Source organism: Homo sapiens, chromosome 3 (assembly GCF_000001405.40).
Source record: "Homo sapiens chromosome 3, GRCh38.p14 Primary Assembly".
Classification (NCBI taxonomy): domain Eukaryota; kingdom Metazoa; phylum Chordata; class Mammalia; order Primates; family Hominidae; genus Homo; species Homo sapiens.
In genome coordinates this window covers 194,315,514-194,336,632 of record NC_000003.12, presented here as the reverse complement: position 1 = coordinate 194,336,632, position 21,119 = coordinate 194,315,514, and the positions used below count along the sequence as shown (strand labels likewise).

The 21,119-nt window shown below is 52.4% G+C and overlaps 7 annotated features.

Moving 5' to 3' along the window:
• Positions 13,231–14,430: an enhancer, noted in NCBI's record as "P300/CBP strongly-dependent group 1 enhancer chr3:194039992-194041191 (GRCh37/hg19 assembly coordinates)". NCBI's record gives its function as "activates an origin of replication core promoter dependent on BRD2, BRD4, P300/CBP, MED14 and CDK7 cofactors, with strong dependence on P300/CBP, by STARR-seq in HCT116 cells {active_cell/tissue: HCT116}" and the evidence as "EXISTENCE:reporter gene assay evidence [ECO:0000049][PMID:35650434]".
• Positions 15,599–15,893: a silencer, noted in NCBI's record as "tiled region #2488; K562 Repressive non-DNase unmatched - State 23:Low". NCBI's record gives its function as "weakly represses a minimal TATA promoter and a strong SV40 promoter by Sharpr-MPRA in K562 cells {active_cell/tissue: K562}" and the evidence as "EXISTENCE:reporter gene assay evidence [ECO:0000049][PMID:27701403]".
• Positions 15,599–15,893: an enhancer, noted in NCBI's record as "tiled region #2488; HepG2 Activating DNase matched - State 5:Enh". NCBI's record gives its function as "activates a minimal TATA promoter and a strong SV40 promoter by Sharpr-MPRA in HepG2 cells {active_cell/tissue: HepG2}" and the evidence as "EXISTENCE:reporter gene assay evidence [ECO:0000049][PMID:27701403]".
• Positions 20,575–21,075: an enhancer, noted in NCBI's record as "H3K4me1 hESC enhancer chr3:194033347-194033847 (GRCh37/hg19 assembly coordinates)". NCBI's record gives its function as "activates a minimal SCP1, AML or CMV promoter by ChIP-STARR-seq in naive H9 embryonic stem cells {active_cell/tissue: H9 hESC(naive)}" and the evidence as "EXISTENCE:reporter gene assay evidence [ECO:0000049][PMID:30033119]".
• Positions 20,575–21,119: a biological region, named in NCBI's record as "H3K4me1 hESC enhancer GRCh37_chr3:194033347-194033847".
• Positions 20,660–20,709: an enhancer, noted in NCBI's record as "active region_21021". NCBI's record gives its function as "activates an Ori minimal core promoter by ATAC-STARR-seq in GM12878 lymphoblastoid cells {active_cell/tissue: GM12878}" and the evidence as "EXISTENCE:reporter gene assay evidence [ECO:0000049][PMID:35858748]".
• Positions 20,780–21,119: a silencer, noted in NCBI's record as "silent region_15020". NCBI's record gives its function as "represses an Ori minimal core promoter by ATAC-STARR-seq in GM12878 lymphoblastoid cells {active_cell/tissue: GM12878}" and the evidence as "EXISTENCE:reporter gene assay evidence [ECO:0000049][PMID:35858748]".

Here is a 21,119-nt window from a genome sequence, read left to right as displayed (position 1 = left end):
GGACTGAAGGAAGGGGTAAGAGTGAGTGAAGAACACGCCCAGCTCCTGGACTGGTCAATGCGCTGATGAGAATCAAGGGGAGTAGGGGACAGAGCCTGCTTAGACGTGTCTGTGGTCAACAGGAGGACATGGGGCTCTGAGCAGGGGGTATCAGCCTGGGGCTGAAAAGAGCTGAGCCCAAGAGAAGAGCTGGGCTCATTACCAGAGAGGAGGCATCCACACAGGGGTGCATGGGAGGCTGCCCAGGGCATGGGAGGACAGCGAACCCTGAGATGAAGCTGCAAGAGGCGGCCCAGGAGGGTTGCAGGGGTGGCTGAGGTGGTAAGAGGCCGGGCATGGTGGCTCACGCCTGTAATCCCAGCACCTTGAGAGGCTGAGGTGTGTGGATCACCTGAGGTCAGGAGTTTGAGACCAGCTTGGCCGACATGGTGATGAAACCCCGTCTCTACTAAAAATACAAAAATTAGCCAGGCGTGATGGTGGGCGCCTGTAGTCCCAGCTACTTGGGAGGCTGACGCAGGAGAATCGCTTGAACCTGGAAGGTGGAGGCTGCCGTGAGCCGAGATCGCACGACTGCACTCCAGCCTGGGCAACAAGAGCGAAACTCCATCTCAAAACAAATAAAAATAAAAATAAAAAAACAAGGGAGAACAGCTCTAGTGAGTGGGCAGCTTGCACTCAGCTGCTGGGAGAATGAAGCTGCCACTCAGCTGGCCCAGGCTGCCCCTACACCTCAAACCTTTTCCTTCTCCTTAGCAGCAGCCATGATGTGTGCTGAGCAGGCAAAGCCACCCTCCCCTCTGGGGCCTTTGTGTCACAAAGTCGAGCGTCTGGGGTTTCCCTTCCCGAGGCTTCGTTTTATCTCAGTTTCTCCTGGGCGCAGCGCGGGTACTGGGACACCTGGACTCTCTGTTGTTGTAGGGGTTTGTTCTTGCAAGCCATTCCCAAGCTGCTTCCTGAGCTGTAAACATCTTAGGACCATGGGTCATGATTGGCAAGGAATATGCCTTGCTAGCTTTGGGATGGAGTTGATTTTCAGACGATCTTACTCTGTCTCTTCTAGGCTCCTGCCTCCCTAACACTGGGGTTACCCAGATATCATTTTGTTTAAATCTCCCCCAGCGATTCTAACGCATGGCCAGGGTTGAACATTTAGGCAGAATTTTGTCTCGGGCACTGTCCAGGGCTAGGTTCAGTGTAATTTGCACTGGGCAATGCTGGCCTCCTCAGACCCACCTGGTGTCTGCTCTGGATGAATTCATGAATGAAACAAGTGACAAACATCATGTATAAAAATATTTCATGGATTTTTTTTCTTTCTTGTTGATGTTTTCATTGTATTTTATTATTATTATTTTTTGAGATAGAGTCTCACTCTGTCTCCCAGGCTGGAGTGCAGTGGCACGATCTTGGCTCACTGCAACCTCTACCTCCCTGGTTCAAGCAGTTCCCCTGCCTCAGCCTCCCGAGTAGCTGTGATTACAGACACGCCACCACGCCCGGCTAATTTTTTTTTTGTATTTTTAGTAGAGATGGGTTCTTGCTATGTTGGCCAGGCTGGTCACGAACTCCTGGCCTCAGGCAATCTGCCCGCCTCGGCCTCCCAAAGTGCTGGGATTATAGGCATGAGCCACCGCGCCCGGCCGATGTTTTTAATTTTTCAGCATTAGTGCTCTCATAAATCTTGCATTTTTGAAGAAACAGCAGCTGGGGGTGCGCTCTGCCTTGCTTTTTTTTTTTTTTTTTTTTTTTTTTTTAGATGGAGTCTCCCTCTGTTGCCAGGCTGGAGTGCAGTGGTGCAATCTTGGCTCACTGCAACCTCTGCCTCCTGGGTTCAAGCGACTCTCCTGCCTCAGCCTCCCAAGTAGCTGGGGCTACAGGCACGTGCCACCATGCCCAGCTAATTTTTGTATTTTTAGTAGAGACAGGGTTTCAACATGTTGGCCAGGATGGTCTTGATCTCTTGATTACGTGATCCGTCCGCCTTGGCCTCCCAAAGTGCTGGGATTACAGGCGTGAGCCACCGCCACCGGCCTGCCTCGCTTTCTTATAGTAAAGGATGGCTAAGACATTCCAAAGCTCCTCCTTCCAGCAGGCAGGACGCTCTTCCAGGAAGCTTTGAATGTTGTACCTTCTTTAGTGATGTCCTGCTACTTGCCAGTCATGCAGCCCTCGGCAAATTACTAAGCTGTCTGTGGCTCAGTGTCCTCACCATAGTTTTATCACATAGCACCCACCTCATAGTGTTATTGGTGAAGATAAAATAAGTGCATCCATATAAAGTACCCACAACAATGACACATGGTACGTTCTCCAAAATCGTTATCTTGCATTATTATTTTTGTTAGTATTATTCTAGAGAGAACTGTGGGTGTGGGTGCGGACGGGGTAGGCAAGCACCGGCCAATTGTTTTACCTGTTCCCGTTGATCTGTTTCTGGAAGAACGTAAAAACTGCTGTTTATATATCAAAATTGCATTGTTTAGGAGGATTGGAAATGCAATTGACACAATTGTTCAGTGCTAACAGTGGATATTGGAAAACTGGACGGTGCCGTCAAAGATTAGACTGTCTAGCGCGATGCGAGTCCAAGGACGAATGCTTTCTGGCCCTCTCAGCCTGCTTCCACCACGCGCGCATCTGCAAGCATTTTAAGTCTGCGCCTGCAGAGGTCCCGAGCCTGGTCTCGGAGCGCCCCCTTGTGGTCGCACGGAAGAACGCGCCCCGCGCAGACGTGGAGGGCCAGGGAGGGGTTCTCCCAGCTCCGCCCGCGGGCGCGGCGCGGTACTTTATTCTTGGAAAGTCAGAACCGGGTCCCCTAGAAGGGATACGGGCACATTGACACGGTGACCCGGGGGATACTTGCCGGAGTGCATGCGGGCGTGCGTGCGGAGCCGTCACGGCTTCTGTCTCCTGCACGCCTGAAAAAGCGCCAGGTCCGCTTGGGGCCCATGCACCGAGGAGCCGCCGGGCGGAGGCGAGTCCACCCGCCACCCGGTGGGGCGGCGAAGCGTTCGGGGCGCTCCAGATTGTCCCCGCGCTGCCGCGGTCCTGCACAGTGACTCGTCCCGCGCCCTCCACGGCTTCCAAGCGTCCCCTGCGACCTCCAGATGCCGATGTGGTACGAACCCCGTCCTCGAGGATCTCAGCTGGGAGCCTCCTGCTGCGCGCTGCTGCCACGTGGACGCGCGGTTCAGGACCGCACCTGGCAACGTGCATCCTGGGAAGACTGTGCTTTGTTTTCTTTGGGATTTTATCAAGAGTTGTTCAGCACTTTGGGAATCTTTATCCCGAGGCAATGCTTAGCCCTGATTGCAAAATGTCAAACACGGACACAAATTCATCCTTTACTCATCGTGAGTGAGTGACAGTGACTTCCAGTCTGTTAGTGAGATCTTGGCCAAACATTCCACATGGAAACGAATTCTTTTATTATAAGTTACCTTTGACTTCTAATTAATATTACAGATAGAAGGTTTTATTTTTAAATTCTCTGCGAGGTTTGACGATATTATCTGTGAAGTTTTTTTTCAGGAGACTAAAGCGGGTGTTACAAATGATTTACCAGGAAATCATTAGGTCTGTGGGGGTGCGGTTCAGAGGTCAAAGTAACAGAAGGAGCAAAACCACATGGTCTTCATCAAAGGAGGCCTGCTGGTGTGTCCTGGCCCTGTTTTCCTCCCGGGGTGGAGGCTATGGGTCTGAGGCTCCCCTTCCCACCATGGCGTGAGAGATCCTTTCGCAGAGAAGCTTTGTAAAGGGGAGCAGAGATTCCAGCTGCATTTGGAGGGAAAGGACAGATTCGTGTATTAGTCTGTTCTCCAGCCAAAAAGAACCAACAAGAGATGATAGATAGATAGGAATTGGCTCATGCAATTGCAGAGGCTGAGAGATCTCAGGTTCTGCAAGCTGGAGACCCAGGGAAGGCGGTGGTGTAATTCCATCCAAGTCCCAAGACCTAAGAACCAGGGGATCTGATGATATAAATCCCGGTGCAAAGGCAGGAGATGAGATGTCCCCGCTCCAGCAGTGAGGCAGGAAGACGCGGGGCAGTTACTCCTTCCTCTGCCTTTTTGTTCACTCAGGCCCTCAGTGGATTGGGTGGTGCCTGCCCTGGCTGGGGAGCGGATCTGCTGTGCTGAGTCCACCTTTCCAAATGTCAATGTCATCGGGAAACGCCCTCAGAGACACACCTGGGAACGGTGTGTGTCATCAGGGTACCCTGTGGCTCACTCAGGTTGACACCTAAAATTGAACATCACAGTTAGGAAGCCTGATTTGTGGCACCCGCTCTGCCTCACTTGCGACCTGTGTCTGTGAACAAGCCACGCCCCCTCTCTCCAGGCCTCAAAATCTTCACTGAGTAACTAGGGGCTGAAAGCCTGGGTGGACGTGTGGATGCCCCACCTCCTGCTCCAGCCGTCTGAGGTGTGCCGCCTCTCCAGCAGGCACCCACCCCCTCACTTGGCCTGGAGGATGGTGGGCACCTCCCCAGGGTGGGGCCCAGCCAGAGCCCAAACTCTCAGCACTCTGGGGGCAGCGGAACCCCTTGGCCGCCACTCAGCGCAGACTGCAGCTGTCCAGCCTGGCCCCTCAAGAACCTTCTCTGCATTCTCCTTGCCCACTGGTTTGCTCAGTGATGATAAACTGACTCCCTGTCTGTGCAGCCCAGCCTTCCCTGGGCTGGCCTCCCTGTAACATTCCCGCTGGCTCTGGGCAGGTGGACACCCAGTCCCCAGACAGCCCTTCAGAAGTGGAAGCAGTCTTCATCATGCTCAGGCAGTCCTCCCGTCCCCAGTCTAAACATTGCCAGGAGCCACTTCTAACAAGTAGTTGCTCACACAACGCAGAGCCTTCACTTCCACGATCTCCGTGCCGTGGAAGCTGTGATTGCGGGCCATCGTGAAGGATGTGCTTCCTTCCAGAGCTGGGGATCCGGGGCTGAGGTCCCACGGTAGCTGGGAAGCCTTTTTCCTTGAGCCTTTTTCCTGGCAGTTTTCATCCGTCACTGTATCCGGGGAGCTTTTTATTTTTTTCTTGGAACTCTGTGGCTGGCCTGGCTGTGTCCTTTGATTCCAGTCCTGTGGGATGGATTATTCCAGCAACAGCCTTTGCAAGATTTCTTTGCCACACTGGCTGTCATGGAAATTCCAGAGACTATGGAGGCAGCCTTCAGAGAGCCATTTCCTGGTCGTGGACATTCCTGTGATCGGATGGGGAGCATTAATACTCCTGCAAGGTTGAAAAAGTGGCCTGTGGAGGCTCTGGCTAAGCCCTTTGAAGCAGATGTACTACTAATCTGGAAGGCCTGGTGTGCTCGGGGGTCTCTGGAGATCTCACTTTATGACATGGGCTACCAAGGTGCTCAGACACCACCTTGCCAGCTGTGGAAATGAAAATCCAGTCTTCAGAATGACAGGTGAATCAAAAGAAGAGACCATTTGATAACCTTGAGAGTTGGTGAAACTTCCTAAGCAATACTGACATTTCTTTCCTGCCCAAGGGACAAGGGTGCTAGCCGACCCTGGTACACTTGGCTGAAAGAGACCAGAATTAGATACTACCCCTCAGGATTCTGGACAACCTAGTGCACCTGGTTGAACTGAGCATTCAGGACAATGGGAACTTTTCCCAGAAATGGCTTGAATTGGAAATGATAAAATTGGAAATCAGTCTCCCTGGGAAGCTTCCCTCTTATGTCTTCTTTGGGCCAGTCAATGGCACACAGGGGAAACTCAGTTCAAATGAGCTGGGCCATGCCCAGGCCTGTTCTGCAAGCCTGCTCTTCTGGGAGCAGGGCCCAGCTGGAGCAGCTCCAAGCTTCTGCCAGACACCCCTCCCCCAAGAGGCTGAGTAGTTTTCATACCCAGGTTTCAGTTCTTCCTTGGAGAATCATGAATTTGGGAAACTCACATATTTCAGCGTGGAGGTCAGTTACGTCGCCTCTTTAAAGGATGATGCATTTTCTTCTTTTGCAAACTTTTTGGAATCTCTCCCTGGAGCCACCAACGTGGTAAGCTTGTCTCAGGGCCTTTTGCATCCCCAGCCAAGCTCTCATCTGTGAGATTCCTTCTCAGGTGGCCTCAGAGGATTCCCACGTGGGTGAAGTTGTCAGCATCTCACTGCCACTCTGTGCAACAGCTGAAAATGACTGAACGGCCCTGCTTTGCTTTCAGCCAGCCCTGCTGAGGCTTCGCCACCCTCAGGAGCATTGAGTGTCATTGTAGCCACTGAGCTCCATGACCACGCTCTCAACCCCCCAACCTCTCTGCAGCCAACAACACTCAGCCTGCAGCCACACCCCCATCAACCTCCTGTGTGCGCGCCAGCCCTCGATGACAGCGTTTCACATCCCCAGGTCCTTTCAGGCCACCATGACCCTCAAGCTGCAGCCCTCCTCTCACCTGCAACCGTGTCCAGAATGCCAGTCTGTGGGGTCTTCTTGCCACGGTTCCAGTGAAATACAGATGATCCAGCCCTTGAGACTTCAACTTACAATTTTCTGACTTTATGATAGATTTACTGGGGTATTAAATGCATTTTTGACTTATATTTTGGACTAACAATGAGTTGATCAGGATGTAACCCCATCATAGGCCTGTAAACCTCTCTTTGCCTGGACTTCGAGTTCCTCTCCAAAAAGGAGCCCACAGCCACCATGCACGCTGAGCCCATCCAAGAAAGAAACGCCCACTCACTGCACGTCCCGGGGAGGTGCCCACAGTCACACCCTCCCTCCCTCCCGTGTAACCTTTCCAACAACAAATTCCCATGTGCTTTCGCCTGCCCCAGTTGTCAGCAGCACAGAAAACACTTGGGAGACAGCATCAGTGACCCTGTCATTACAGTCAACACACCTGCTGGAGTTTGCTCTTGCACCTGTCCCCAGCACTCAGCTGCTCTGTGGCCTTCGCCAGCTGTGCCCATCAGCCAGGCACCAGAGGCTGCCCCTGAGCCCCAGAGATCAGGAAAGTTGCAGGGGAGGGAGCAAGCCCCAGCACAGAACTCTTCCTACACAAGGAATCCCAGGGAGTCCTCCCAGGACGAAACGGACACGTACCTCCTCCTGCCCTCAAGAGGGGACGTGCAACTTCTCCAGAGAGGAGAGGGGACATCTGGGTGAGACTTGGGGGCTGAATGGGGGGGATTTGCATTCAACCCCTGGACTGATTTTAGTTTTGCTCTGACATATGTAAGCCGCCATTTTTTTTGGTGTGTGATATTGTTTTCACATCTGAGCAGCTGGCACACTTGTGAAGTCTTCTGGAGTCTTAAAAACTGGATCTAAAAGTTGGAAATCGGCATATGCTAATAAATGTCAAGCCACGGCCCTAGGGCATTTGCGGTAAGTACTATTAGACTCACTGCATTCACCCACAAACACATCCCATAGCTAAATTAAAATATAAGAACGAACTCAATACGATGTTTGACTATCCAGCCTCTACACTGTCCTCAATAGAGCTCTAAGCCAGGGAAATAAAAATACCTCCTCAGCAGCCAAAATGAATTTCCAGTGCCCGAAATGAAAGCTCATGCATCCGCTCCAAGGAACATTCCTCCTTTCAGAATCTGTTCACCTTCACAACAGACAGGGGCTATCACGTTTGGTTACGTGATTTCAAGGCGATAGCAGATTAAAGACAAAAATGATCAGTTGGAGGAAGGTAACGGTCCTGCTGGAGGAAGACTTGCTAACAACTAAGAAAGTGATAGAAAAATGGCAAAATCAGACACGAACTCCCAAAGAACAGCTGGGCCATTTCACGGAGGGTACCTGGTAGCTTCCGAGGGCAGCACGCTACTCCAGCACAGGTAAGAGCTGAGGGAAATAACGATGACCCCAGCTACCTTGGAAAAGGTAACATCAGGTATAATACTGTCTCAGTTTGCATTCCCGTGAAAGCAGAGCTTGGTGCGAGGGCTTGGATGCAGTTTAATTGGGCGATGATCCCAGGGAGCAGGACCATGAGATGCGGAAGGGGGAAAACCGGTAGAGAAAAACGTGCTGGCTGTGGTGGCTGCTGTGGGGCCTTCCTGGGAAGCATCCAGAAGGTCTCCAGGGCTGCCTTCCTGAAGCACAGGAGGCGCGCATGCCTCCACCGGCTCCCACCGCCAGCTTCCACTCCCCACGCTTCGGCGCTCAGGCAAAGGGGCATCGGGGAACGCCACCGGGCAGAGACATCAGAGAGCTGGGCCGGGAGGTGGGAGATGGGGTGGAACCGCCCTGTACAGTGGCTGCTGAAAAGAGCAGGGGCTGAAGGCATCTGCTGCAATTACCCTCTGTTCAAAGCAGCAGCAGGCAACTCTTACACGCTGAGTTACACTCTTCCACTCTAATTCCACTCAAAGGACTGTACGTGCTAAATGTTTCATACTTGACAGGCAAGTCCTCAGTTATCCAGGGGTGACTCAGAGCAGACTAACGTCCACAGAGGGCCCTGGGTGAAAGAGGCGGTCTTGGCCACGCTGGGACAGGTGCGCTCTGCGGATGCGCGTGTGAGGGCGCCGTGCCACAGTGACCCGCATGAGTGTGAGCTGTTTGAAGGGGAGGTACCAGAGGACTTTTCATTTCTGCTGGCTTCAGCCACACCGTTGTGTGGTTGTGTGTGTGTGGTGTGTGTGGTTGTGTGTGTAGTGTATGTGGTGTGTGTAGCTGTGTGTGGTGTGTGTGGTTGTGTGTGTGGTTGTGTGTGGTGTGTGGTTGTGTGGTTGTGTGTGTGGTGTGTGGTTGTGTGTTGTGTTGGTGTGTGTGGGTGTGTGTGGTGTGTGGTTGGTTGTGTGGTTGTGTGTGTGGTGTGTGGTTGTGTGTTGTATGTTTGTGTGGTGTGTGGTTGTGTGTGGTGTGTGGTGTGTTGTGTGGTTGTGTGTGGTGCGTGTGGTGTGTGGTTGTGTGGTATGTGTGGTTGTGTGTGGTATGTGTGGTGTGTGGTTGTGTGGTGTGTTATGTGTGGTTGTGCGTGGTATGTGTGATTGTGTTGTGTGTGGTTGTGTGGTTGTGTGTGGTGTGTGTGGTTGTGTGTGTTGTGTGTGTGGTATGTGTGATTGTGTGTGTGGTGTGTGGTTGTGTGGTGTGTGTTGTGTGTGTGGTATATGTGACTGTGTGGTTGTGTGCTGTGTGCTGTGTTGTGTGTGTTGTGTGTGTGGTTGCGGTGTGTGGTTGTGTGGTGTGTGTGGGGTTGTGTGTGCTGTGTGTTGTGTGGTTGTGTGTTGTGTGTGCGGTTGTGTATGTTGTGTGTGGTGTGTGGTTGTGTGTGGTGTGTGTTGTGTGTGGTTGTGTGTTGTGTGTTTGTGTGTTGTGTGGTTGTGTGTGGTGTGTGGTGTGTGGTTGTGTGGTTGTGTGTGGTTGTGTGTGGGGTTGTGTGGTTGTGTGTGGTGTGTGTAGGTGTGTGTGGTTGTGGTGGGTGTGGTTGTGTGGTGTGTGGTTGTGTGTGTTGTGTGTGTGGTTGTGGTGTGTGTGGTTGTGTGTGGTGTGTGGTGTGTGGTTGTGTGGTTGTGTGTGTGGTGTGTGGTGTGGTTGTGTGGTATGTGTGGTTGTGTGTGGTGTGTGTGGTTGTGTGGTGTGTGGTCGTGTGGTGTGTGTTATGTGTGGTGCGTGGTATGTGTGATTGTGTGTGTGATTATATGGTGTTGTGTGTGGTTGTGTATGGTTGTGTGTGTGGTGTGTGTTGTGTGTGTGGTTGTGTGTGGTGTGTGGTTGTGTGGTTGTGCGTGGTGTGTGGCTGTGTGTGGTGTGTGGTTGTGTGTGGTGTGTGGTGTGTGTGTGGTTGTGTGTCTGTGTTGTGTGTGTGGTTGTGTGTGGTATGTGTGATTGTGTGTGTGGTTGTGTGGTGTGTGTGGTATGTGTGACTGTGTGTGGTTGTGTGGTGTGTGCTGTGTGTTGTGTGTGGTGTGTGCTGTGTGTTGTGTGTATTGTGTGTGTGGTTGCAGTGTGTGGTTGTGTGGTGTGTGGTTGTGTGTGTTGTATGTTGTGTGTGGTTGTGTGTTGTGTTGTGTGTGTGGTTGTGTGTGTTGTGTGTGGTGTGTGGTGTTTGTGGTTGTGTGTGGTGTGTGTGGTTGTGTGGTGTGTATTGTGTGTGGTTGTGTGTGCGGTATGTGTGATTGTGTGTGTGGTTGTGTGGTGTGTGCTGTGTGTGTGGATGTGTAAGTGCAGTGTCTTCTCCATCCCTCCTTCGGGCGAGGCTCCTCCTCTGCCCGAACCTTTTCCTTTAACCATGTGCTCCGTGCTCCATTCCACTTGCTCTTCTCCCTGGCTGATGTTATCCTCAGAGCCCTTCGGTTTGTTCCACACACGTTTCCTGGTGTCTTAGGTCAGGCTCCCCGGAGGCAGTCGTTAAGGGCCCAGACGCAGGTGATTTATTGAAGGGAGATGATCCCAGGAGGAACTAGTAAGGAGGCCGGGAGTGCGCAGCCCGGGTGGGCTGGGGGAAGCCACGCTGGTACAGTTTCCCGGGAAGAACAAGCCCTAGCTAGATCCCGCAGGAAAGTTCTGGAGTATAAATTATTTCTCAGAGTTTGCCCCAACTCAGGCAAGGGAGCTGGGCTTTTAGACCCCTCCCCAGTCCGCCACGGCTAAAGGCTGCTCCCCACTTCCCTGCAATGGCCTGAGGACAGGGCCCCAAAGCAAGTCGCAGGCGCCTGGGTTAGCCATGGAAGCCCCCCGGGGCTGGGGAAGGGCCGGACGCAGGAAGGGGTCCGGTGGGGGGCTTGCAGGAGCACCACCAGGGTCCACCACAGGCCCCCTCTGTGTGGCCCTGGACTGGGGCGTGGCTTCCCCGTGTGTGCCCTCTGTCCCCTCGGGGAAGGACTGGATTTGGTTACTTCTTCCCCAGACGCACCGTACTCTGGACGGATGGGCCCCCATCTGACCCTGTGACCTTCAGAAGTCACTGCCTCTTTGGAGTTCAGTTCCCCAGATGTAAGGGGGTTTGACTCTGGAAGACCCCTCCCTCCTGCCACCCTGTGGCCACAGAAGCTTAACTTGATGGAGTGGGGGTACTGATAAAGAGTGCAATGCCTAGGGACCATTTGGTGAGCCTTTAGATAGCTTTTATCCAGAGAGATGTGATGAAAATCCTATTAGAAGGCTGATGAGATCACGGAATTATCTCATTAGCTGGTAGAGTGGGGACATGTGAGCATTTTACAGAAATCAAATCCCAAGAGTTCAGGAGAGAGCTTGTGAGTGAGGAAGTGTGTGTGTGTGTGTGTGTGTGCATGTAAATATGTGTGGTGTGTGTAGTATGTGGGGGGTGTGGTGTGTGAGTGTGCGTGTGGTGTGTGTGGTGTGTGTAGTGTATGTGGTGTATGTATGTGTGGTGTGTGTGTGTGATGTGTGTATGGTGTGTGTGGTGCATGTGGTCTGTGTGGTGTATATGTGTGTGGTGTGGTGGTGTATGTGTGTGGGGGTGTATGTGTGTGTGTTGTGTGGTATGTGTGGTGTGTATCTGTGTGGTGTGTGTGTGGTGTGCGAGTGTGCATGTGTGTGTGGTATGTATGTGGTGTGTGTATGTGTTTGGTGTGTGTGTAGTGTGTGATGTGTGTGGTGTATGGTGTGTGTGTCTGGTGTGTGTATGGTGTGTGTGTAGTGTGTGTATGTGGTGTGTGGTGTGTGTGGTGTGCATGTGTCTGGTGTGTGTGTATGGTATGTGTGTCTATGTGGGGTGTGTGGTGTGTGTGCGTATGTGGTGTGTGGTGTGTGTGTATGGTGTGTGTAGTGTGTGTGTATGTGGTGTGTGTGGCGGGTGTGTTTTGTATGTGTAGTGTGTGTGTATGTGGTGTGTGTGTAGTGTGTGTATGTGGTGTGTGTGTAGTCTGTGTGTCGGTGTGTGTGTGTGTGTGTGTGTGTATGTGGTGTGTGGGTGTATGTGTCTGGTGTGTGTGTGTGTGTGTGTGTAGTGTGTATGTGTGTGTGTGTGGTCTGTGTGTCGGGTGTGTGTGTGTATGGTGTGTGTGTGTAGTGTGTATGTGGTGTGTGTGTGGTCTGTGTGTCGGGTGTGTGGGTGTATGGTGTGTGTGGTGTGTGTGTATGTGGTGTGTGGGTGTATGTGTGGTGGTCTGTGATTTTAGGTGGATGTTTTAGGGTGGTGAGAGTTGGAGCCTCAGAACCAAGGGCGTGGACATAAGGTCCCTGCCGCTGAGGGCGGGACAAAAGGAGTCTGAGCGGAAGAGCTGCCTTATATGTCGGCTTTTGCCCACTCACATTGCAAAGAACACAAGAGCAGCCTGGGCACAGGGTGAGTCGCTGCTGCATGGCGGAGGGCAGCAGTTGCTGTGTGGCATCGTTTCTGGTACAGAGTCCACCATGACCGGATCAACAACGGGGATGGAACTCAGCTTTCTGGAGCCGGTCTTGAGAGGGGTGGGGTTTTGAGTGATGGGAGTCTTTTTCAGCCTGCCTCCAGCATCCAGAAAGTACATTGGCAGGACACGGGGACCTTGCGAGGCAGTGTGCTCCTGGCTGACCCACTCCGTGCCTGGGAAGGGACACTGCGCCCCAAAGAACGCTTGGGGCCGTGGTCGGGTCACGCGGAAGCCTGAACGCCAAGCAGTCATCAGGCGAGATTGATGGCAGAGGAGTGGTTTGGGGGAGGCCCGGGTGGCCTGCTGCAGCTTCACCGCTGTTATTTATGGCCTCGCTGAGGCGTCAGTGACTGGGTTGACAGCTCGCTGTAAGCTGACCTGGCTGGCGCACTGCCTGCAGCCTTCTGCCTGCCCATCCCTCGGCGTGAGGAATGTCAGCCTCGGAGACAGTGACCAGACGCAGTAGGTGTGGAAGGACGGGTTCCAGAATCCTCACCCCGAGACCTCTTTATCCGGAGAGAGGCGTGTGTGCGTGTGTGGACACATGCTTGTACCCCCTCCTATTTATACAAGCAGACATTTGTGACAGAGACACAGCGCAGCTAACTTGATTCTGACTTTTGGTACAGGGGAAATGAGCACAAATAATCCCAAATAATAAGTAAAATCCCAAAGCAGTTCCTGGGGGATGCAGTTGATTCAGGAAATGGGCATTGAAGGGATTTCGTTTTTGTCTTTGTGATTTGTTTTTGCTGTGTGTGGGGGGGGGTTTATTTTTTATTTATTTATGTTTTTTGAGATGGAATCTCACTCTGTCCCCAGGCTGGAGTACAGTGGCGCGATCTCGGCTCACTGTAACCTCCGCCTCCTGGATTCAAGCGATTCTCCTGCCTCAGCCTCCTGAGCAGCTGGGACTACAGGCGTGCGCCACCACGCCCGGCTAATTTTTGAGTTTTTAGTAGAGACAGGGTTTCACCACGTTGGCCAGGATGGTCTCAATCTCTTGGCCTCGTGATCTGCCCGCCTCGGCCTCCCAAAGTGCTGGGAGTCTGCTAGGACTGAATCTGAAAGACTGGAGAAAGTAAGACGTGTGGGAATGGGGAAGGAGATTCCAGGTCGGGGGTGGCGTCTACTGCAGGCCTGGGTGTTGAGGAAGCACAGAGTTTGGGCAACTACAGGCGGTTGCCTGGTGTGGAGCAGCTTGTGCTGGAGGCAGGGGTTGGTGATGACGAGGAAATCGAAGCCCAGAGCGCATCATTCACTTGCTCAAAGTCACACAGCTTTGCCGTCAGAACTGGGGTGATGCTGTGGGCGTGACAGCCTCTCCAGGCCAGCTCTGTTTCCCGCACACTATCCTCTCTCCCCTCCCTGAGGCTGGCACATCCCCGAATCACCCGATACCACCTTGCCCTGCCCCACCCAGGAGGCTCAGCTCGCGGACAGAGTGACTCAGGCATTAATCAGCTTTTCCCTGGGTTGAGAAAACCTGAGACAGAGAGCTACAGTCGCGCCTGCCACATCTACCTCCCCAGCCATCCTACTCTCTATGCTGCTGCAAACTAGACATTCCTTCCTGGAGGGACCTCTCGCTTCCCATCTTCAGATCAGGACGCACGGTCTCTTCTCCGCAGCTGCTTCCTCTGGTGTTCCTGTGCTCCTGTCGGCCCGCTGCTCCCACACACATGCCCATTCTTCTCGGGCTGGCTTGTATCTCAGGGTTACGCTCCCCAGGTCCCTTGCTCCAGGTAGGTTTGGCCAATAGCAGGTGAGGAGAGGGTGGGCGGAGGGGAGACGCCGGGGCATTTCCTCCCCTGGGTCCCTGCTCTAGGAAGCATCTCTAGCAGGGCTTGCGCCTCCCCGGCGCCAGTTCCCACTGCGCAGGTCTGCTGTGGCTTCTGCCTGGTGGGCAGCTCCCGGCCTCCGGGCTCCACCTGCTTCCCTTTTCTGTCCCTCCTGCTCCAAATGGTGCAGCGCCGTCCTCCCATTGCTCACCTCGGGGCTGCTCACCATCTCGTTTGCCTTCTCAGTTTTTATACCACCGATGCAACCAGTCCCCTGGATTAAACTCCCTCTGTTGGAAATACTAGCATGGTTCCTGATGGGCCGGGCCCCTGGCTGATACACTTCCTTCTAGGAGGATGGCACCGGGTCAGAGTGTTCAGACTTGTTGACGTCCCTCCCCCCACTCAATTCGTCACTGAGCCAGAAGACTGAGCCTTGGGAATGTCTCTGAGCCCACCCCACCTCTCCTCTCTGGCAGCAGCCTTGGGCGAGTCCTGCCCTGGTCAACCCCAGCAGCCTCCCACCAAGGCCAGCCCAGCAGCCCACCCTCCCACGGCTGCTCAAGCCCACCAGGCCATGCTTTAGACGAGGCTCTGTAACTTTGCAAATCAAGCATGCACCGTAGGACCAGCCTTTCCACTCTGCTCCCAAGCTGCCTTCCAGCCCTGTGCCATCCTCTACACACCCCTCCCCCCGCTGTACACCCCACACCCCATTACCAGGCTACCAGTCACTTCCCAAACACACCCTGCACACTGGTCTGCTCGCTGTCTGCTTTGCCTTGTCAGTTTTTGTACCACCTATATCTATGCAGCCAGTCCCCTGGATTAAATTCCCTCTGTTTGCAATACTAGTGGGCTTCCTGTTGTGCTGGACCCCTGGTGATATATTTCCTTCTAGGAGGATGGCAGCAGGTCCTCTGCCTGCTCGTTCATGCTGTTCCCTCTGCCTGAACTGCCTCCCCCTCTTTTTTTTTTCTGAGATGAAGTCTCCCTCTGTTGCCCAGGTTGGAGTGCAGTGGCTTGATCTCAGCTCCCTGCAACCTCTGCATCCCAGGTTCAAGCAATTCTCTTGCCTCAGCCTCTGAGTAACTGGGATTACAGGTGCCCACCACTATGCTCAACTAATTTTTGTATTTTTAGTAGAGATGGGGTTTCACCATGTTGGCCCAGCTGGTTTCAAACTCCTGACCTCAATTGATCCGCCCACCTCAGCCTCCCAAGGTGCTGGGATTACAGGTGTGAGCCACCATGCCCAGTTGGCCCTCTCTTTTTTACTAGTAAAAAGTCTATTGATTCTTTTGATTCTTTAAGACCTACAGCAATTGCTGCGTCCTCTAGGATGAAACACATCACTACCCATTCTGCTTTCCTTGGCCGTCTGTCCCTGCCTCTGTGAGGGCCCTTCTCACAGGCGATGTGAATGTCTCCAGGACTGGGACCCTGTCTCAGCCCTCGTGTACCCAGATTCCTAGCACCGAGGCCAGCCCTCACACAGGAACTCAGGAAATGTTGACTGGAGTGGAAAGTGCACCTTGAAATCACCTCACCCCCGACCCCAGTCCCTTGGAGACGGGGCGTGCTCCCAGGCTCCTTTTCTGTTTGAACAGCCAACCAGAGAATGAGGGGCCTCCCCTGTCCTAACCCCAGGGCTGTGCATTTCTGTGACATTCTCAATGATCCTGGTTAATGTTTAATTCCAGTTTCTTTGTTTTCTGTAAAGTTGATAACAGAGTGGTGTAGCAGAGAATGTAAAAGACCAAGACCCACAGCAGGAAAACAAATACGCACCCCGTTTTTACTTAATAATTAAAAGTTAGTCATTTCCCAGAGCTTTTTGGGAATGAATGGAAATGAATTCAGAATGTTAAAATCCAGCCCTGCAAAATGCTATAACCATATAAAGAGCATTCATGATGCTTGCATCACAGGCCCCAGGGCTGGTTTTGCACACCAGCCATGTGCTGGCCTCTACAAAGATTCTGTCTTCCTGAAACTTCCATCAGTGTCTGACTCCTGCATCACAACACAGATGGCTTTTCTGCGGGATCCTGGATAAAGCCTGAGCTCATCAACCTTAACTTCAACACCCTCCCTCCTGGCCCTTTTCAACCTTTTCAACCTTGGCTGTCTCCGTGGGAACCCTCTTTTCCAGCCAGACATCCTGTTTACAGATCTCAGATGGGCCATGGGGCGGGTCTCACTCCTGCCCTCTTTGAGGACAGGGTAAAGGAGTGGTTAGGAGTATGAGGTCCAAATTCGGGCAGGCCAGGGTTCATGTCCAAGCTCCATCATATCTAGGCTGGGATAGCCACACCACCTCCAGGAAGCCTGCTCTGGTTTTCCTGACCCATGGCCATGCATTTCTCCAGTGTCTGCCTGCTCCAAGTGTCATCACTGCCTCCGTGGCATTGAAACCTCGTCAGTCTTGTGATATCTATTTCTCTGTCCCTTATTCATGTGTTTGTCTAGTTTCTCCATCTGGACTCTAAATGCTGTGCCCACAACAGGCTATTATGGGTCTCTGTGTGTCCCAGACTGCCCGCATGAATAATGGCTGATATGGCTTGGATTTTTGTCCTCTCCAAATCTCATGTTGCAATGTGATTCCCAGTGTTGGAAGTGGGGCCTGCTGGGAGGTGAGTGGATCATGGGGGAAGATCCCTTAAGAGTAGGTTAGCACCATCCTCTTGGTGATATGAGTTCTTGCTCAGTTAGTTCATGTGAGATCTCGTTGTTTAAGCATCTGGGACCTCCCCTTTCTCTCTCTCTTGCTCCCACTCTCACCATGTGATGTGCCTGCTCCCCTTTCTTCTTCCACCATGAGTGGAAGCTTCCTGAGGTCTTTAGCAGAACCAGATGCTGGCACCATGCTTCTTTTACAGCCTGCAGAATTGTGACCCAATTAAACCTCTTTTCTTTATAAATTTCCCAGTCTCAGGCATTTTTAATAGCAATGCACAAACGGACTAACACAGAAAATTGGTATAGTGAATAGAGTATCGCCATAAAAATACCTAAAGATGTGGAACTGAGTAACGGGCAGAGGGTGGAAGAGACTGGAGAGCTCAGAAGAAGACAGGAAGATGAGGGAACGTCTGGAACATCTATGGTTGTGACAAAAATGCTGATAGAGATATGGACAGTGAAGTCCAAGCTGACAAAGTCTCAGATGGAAATGAGAAAGTTATTGGGAGCTGAAGCAAAGATCACCTGTGTTATTCCCTAGCAAAGAGCCTGGATGGATTGTGTTCATGTCCTAGGGGTTTGTGGAAGGTTGAACTTATTTGGTGGCAGCTGGCAGAAGAAATTTCTAAGTATCAAGAAGTGACGTGGCTGCTTCTAACAGCCTACGATCAGATATGGGTGTAAAGAAATGACTTAAAGTTGGAACTTATACATGAAAGGAAGCAGGGCATAAAAGTTCGTAGCCTAGCCATGCAGCAGGGAAAGAAGAAGCATTTTCAGGAGCGGAATCCAAGCAGCCAGTGTAGCAATCATTTGCTAGAGACATTAGCATGACTAAAAGGGAGCCAAATGCTAATATCCAATACAATGGGGAAAAGTTCTCAAAGGCATTTCAGAGGTCTTGGAGATAGCTCTTCCCATCTCATGCTCAGGGGCCTAGGAGGAAAGAATGGGTTCAGGGGCCAGGTATGGGGCACTGTTGTCCAGTTCAGCCTCAGGACACTGCTTGCCACATCTCTGCTGGCTCAAAAGACCCCAGGCCCAGGTACAGCTCCAGTTGCTGCTTTGGAGAACGCAAGCTGCCATAAGCCTTGGCAGTTTCCACTTGGTGTTAAGCCTGCAGGCACACAGAATGTAAGTGTGAAGGAGGCTTGGCAACTTCCACCTAAATTTCAGAGGATGAATCAGCAAGCCTAAGGTGGCTGCCCAGGCAGAAGCCTGCTGCAGGGGTGGAGCCCCCACCAGAGAAACTCTACTAGGGCAGTGTGGAGGGGAAATGGGGGTTGGATCCCCCACACAGACCCCCCACCAGGACACTGCCTAGTGGAGCTGTGGGAAGGTGGCTGATGTCCTCCAGACCCCAGAATGATAGAGCCACTGACAGCTTGCATACTGAGCATGGAAAAGCCACAGGCACTCAACTCCAACCCATGAGAGCAGCCACAGGGCTAGACCCAGAAAAGCCACAGGGGCAGTGCTGCTCAAGGCCTTGGGGGCCCATCCCTTGAACCAGTGCACCCAGGATGCAGGACATGGGATCAAGGATCATTTTGGAGCTTTAAGGTTTAATGACTGCCCCAATGGGTTTCAGACTTGGGTGGGTCTGGTAGCCCCTTCCTTTGGGTCAATTTCTCCCTTTTAGAATGGGAATATCTACCCAATGCCTGTGCCACCATTGTATCTTGGAAGTAAATAACTTGTTTTGATTTTACAGGCATATAGGTGGAAGGAACATGCCTTGGGTCTCAGATGAGACTTGGACTTTTGGATTAATTCTGGAACAAGTTAAGACTTAGGGGGACTATTGCAAAGGCATGATTGTATTTTGAAATGTGAAAAAGACATGATATTTGGGTCCTGGGCGGGGAATAACGTGGTTTGGATATTTGTCCCCTTCGATTATCATGTTGAAAGGTGATTCCCATTTTGGGGGTGGGGCCTGGTAGGAGGTGAGTGGATCATGGGGGAAGGCCCCTCGTGAATGGTTAAGCACACCCCTTGGTGATAAGTGAGTTCTTGGTCAGTTAGTTCATGTGAGATCTGGTTGTTTAAAAGAGTCTGGGACCTCCCCCAACCCCTTGCTCCTACTCTTGCCATGTGATGTGCCTGCTCCCCTTTTGCCTTCCACCTTTCACCATGAGTGGAAGCTTCCCAAGGTTCTTACCAGGACCAGATGCTGACGCCATGCTTCTTGAACAGTCTGCAGAATTGTGAGCCAATTAAACCTTGTTTCCTTATAAATTACCAGCCTCAGGCATTTCCTTATAGCAATGCACAAATATACTAACACAATGGCCATAGACAGCGCTTACCATTAGCTCATTTAACTTGTCTACGAGGGCAGCACAACTTGGGGTCCACATACTCATGCCCAACTTCATTGGCCATTCAACTCCAGCCAAGTAACAGGACGAAAAGACAGAAACCCACCATAAGCTGCGGCTGAAGGTGGCCATCCAGCCCACTGTTGGGACAGAATGCTTAGTGTGTACAGATTTGCTTCGGTGTCCCTAAGATAGGCTTCTGACCTGTCTATTTTCCCTGAGAATTCAGAATAATCATGAACAAGATGGGAGTATGAATCTCAGCATGGAGGCCCAGTGGCTGACACCTAGCTTTCAAACCTAAACATCTTGCACAGGTTTCCTTGTACCATGTTCTCTGATGCGATGTCCTGTGTCTCTGCTCACTGCTTCAGTGCCCTCCCAAGCAGCCGGGATGGAGCCCGGGCCGCCACAGCCCCCCTGGAGTGCGTGCCGCCTGATAGGTGGATCAAGAGCAGAACTCACATGCTGCCTCCTGGGGAGGAAGGGGGTTGTTTATGACCATATGAGCTTTGAGGTACCCAGGATGACAGGCCACCCTAGAACCCAGGGAGCTTGGGCAAGTTCATCCCCTTCTCTGGGCCTCAGTTTCCCTCATCTGTCCTGCAAAAGAATTGGATCAGATAATCTGGGACATTCTATCCAGCTCTCTGATCCAGAGATCAGGTTTGGGGCCGGGTGGGGGATGTGAAGTGGTCTTCCAAGCTGTCAACATAGCCTGATTGTGTAAGGCCTGCACAAATGGTGTTTAGAGCAATACTTTCAAACCTTAATGTTGGGTGAATCACCTGCGTCTAGAGAAAATGAAGATTCTAGCAGGAGAGAGTGGAAGAGTGGTTACCAGAGGCTGGGAGCAGGGTTGGATGGGGAAAGATTGGTCAACAAGTACAAAGTTGCAGCGAGGAGGAAGTTCTTGTGTTCTATGGCACAGCAAGGTGACTGTGGTTAACAGTACCGTATTGTACATTGCAAAGTAGGTAGAAAAGATTTACAATTTCTTTAGCAAAGATGAGATGATGGATAGGCTAAATACCTTGATTTGATTTTTACACAATGCATACATGTATCAAAACATCACATTGTACCCCAGAAATACGTACAATTATGGGTCAATAAAAAGCAAAATAAAATATGTAGATTCTCTCTCAATGGTTCTGAGGCGGGGTCTCTAAACCTGCATTTCTAACAAGCTCCCTGGTGATCCCGCGGTGCCGGCTGAGTCGGTGCCTTGATTAGGAGGGTTTGGCACTAGGTCTCCAGGTGTGATCCCGGAGCGGCAGCATCGGCATCACCTGGGAACCTTGTAAGAGCGAGTAGGGCCAAGCTACAGAAGTATTGGGTCAGAAACTCTGGGGTAGCGCCCAGCAATATGTGATGTAACAAGCCCTCCAGGCGACTCCCATGAGCTCAATTCTGAGAACCACTGCTTTAAGACAACAGCTTCTAAACTGGGCGGTGCATAGGAAGCACCGAGAGAGTTTTTAAAAATACTGGGGCCTGGGGCCCGCTTGTCGGGGTTCTAATGTAATCGGAATAGGTGCCTCCCGGGCATCGGGATTTTTACAGTCTCCCCAAGTGATTCTAATGTGAAGTCAATGAGCCTTAGGGCGGACAGAAGATGAGGGCTGCGGGGCTCCCAGGCTGCGAGCCTGCGATTCTTCTGACGGCGCTTTCCGGACGACGGCCACTAGGGCGCGCTGTGGCACCGCTGGGAGGCCGGCTGCGGTTCAGCCTCCTCTCGCCAGCGGCTGGAGGAGCTCCGGGCTGGGAGGCGGCGCGAAGCCCCGGGGGTCGGAGCCTCCGGGAGCGGCTTCTGGCCCAGGCCGGCCCGCCCCCGTGCATCGGCACCTAATTAATGCTGGCCGCGGCCTCGCCGCGCTTGACGTCAGTGATGTGCTCCGTGCTGGGGAGACGCGGCCTTTGCAGCCGCTCGGCACAGGTTGCTTCACCCTGGCCAGCCCTGCTGCCCGCCCCCTCCAGGCAGAACGCCGGGCTCACCTCTGGGACCGAGCCCTTGCTCATG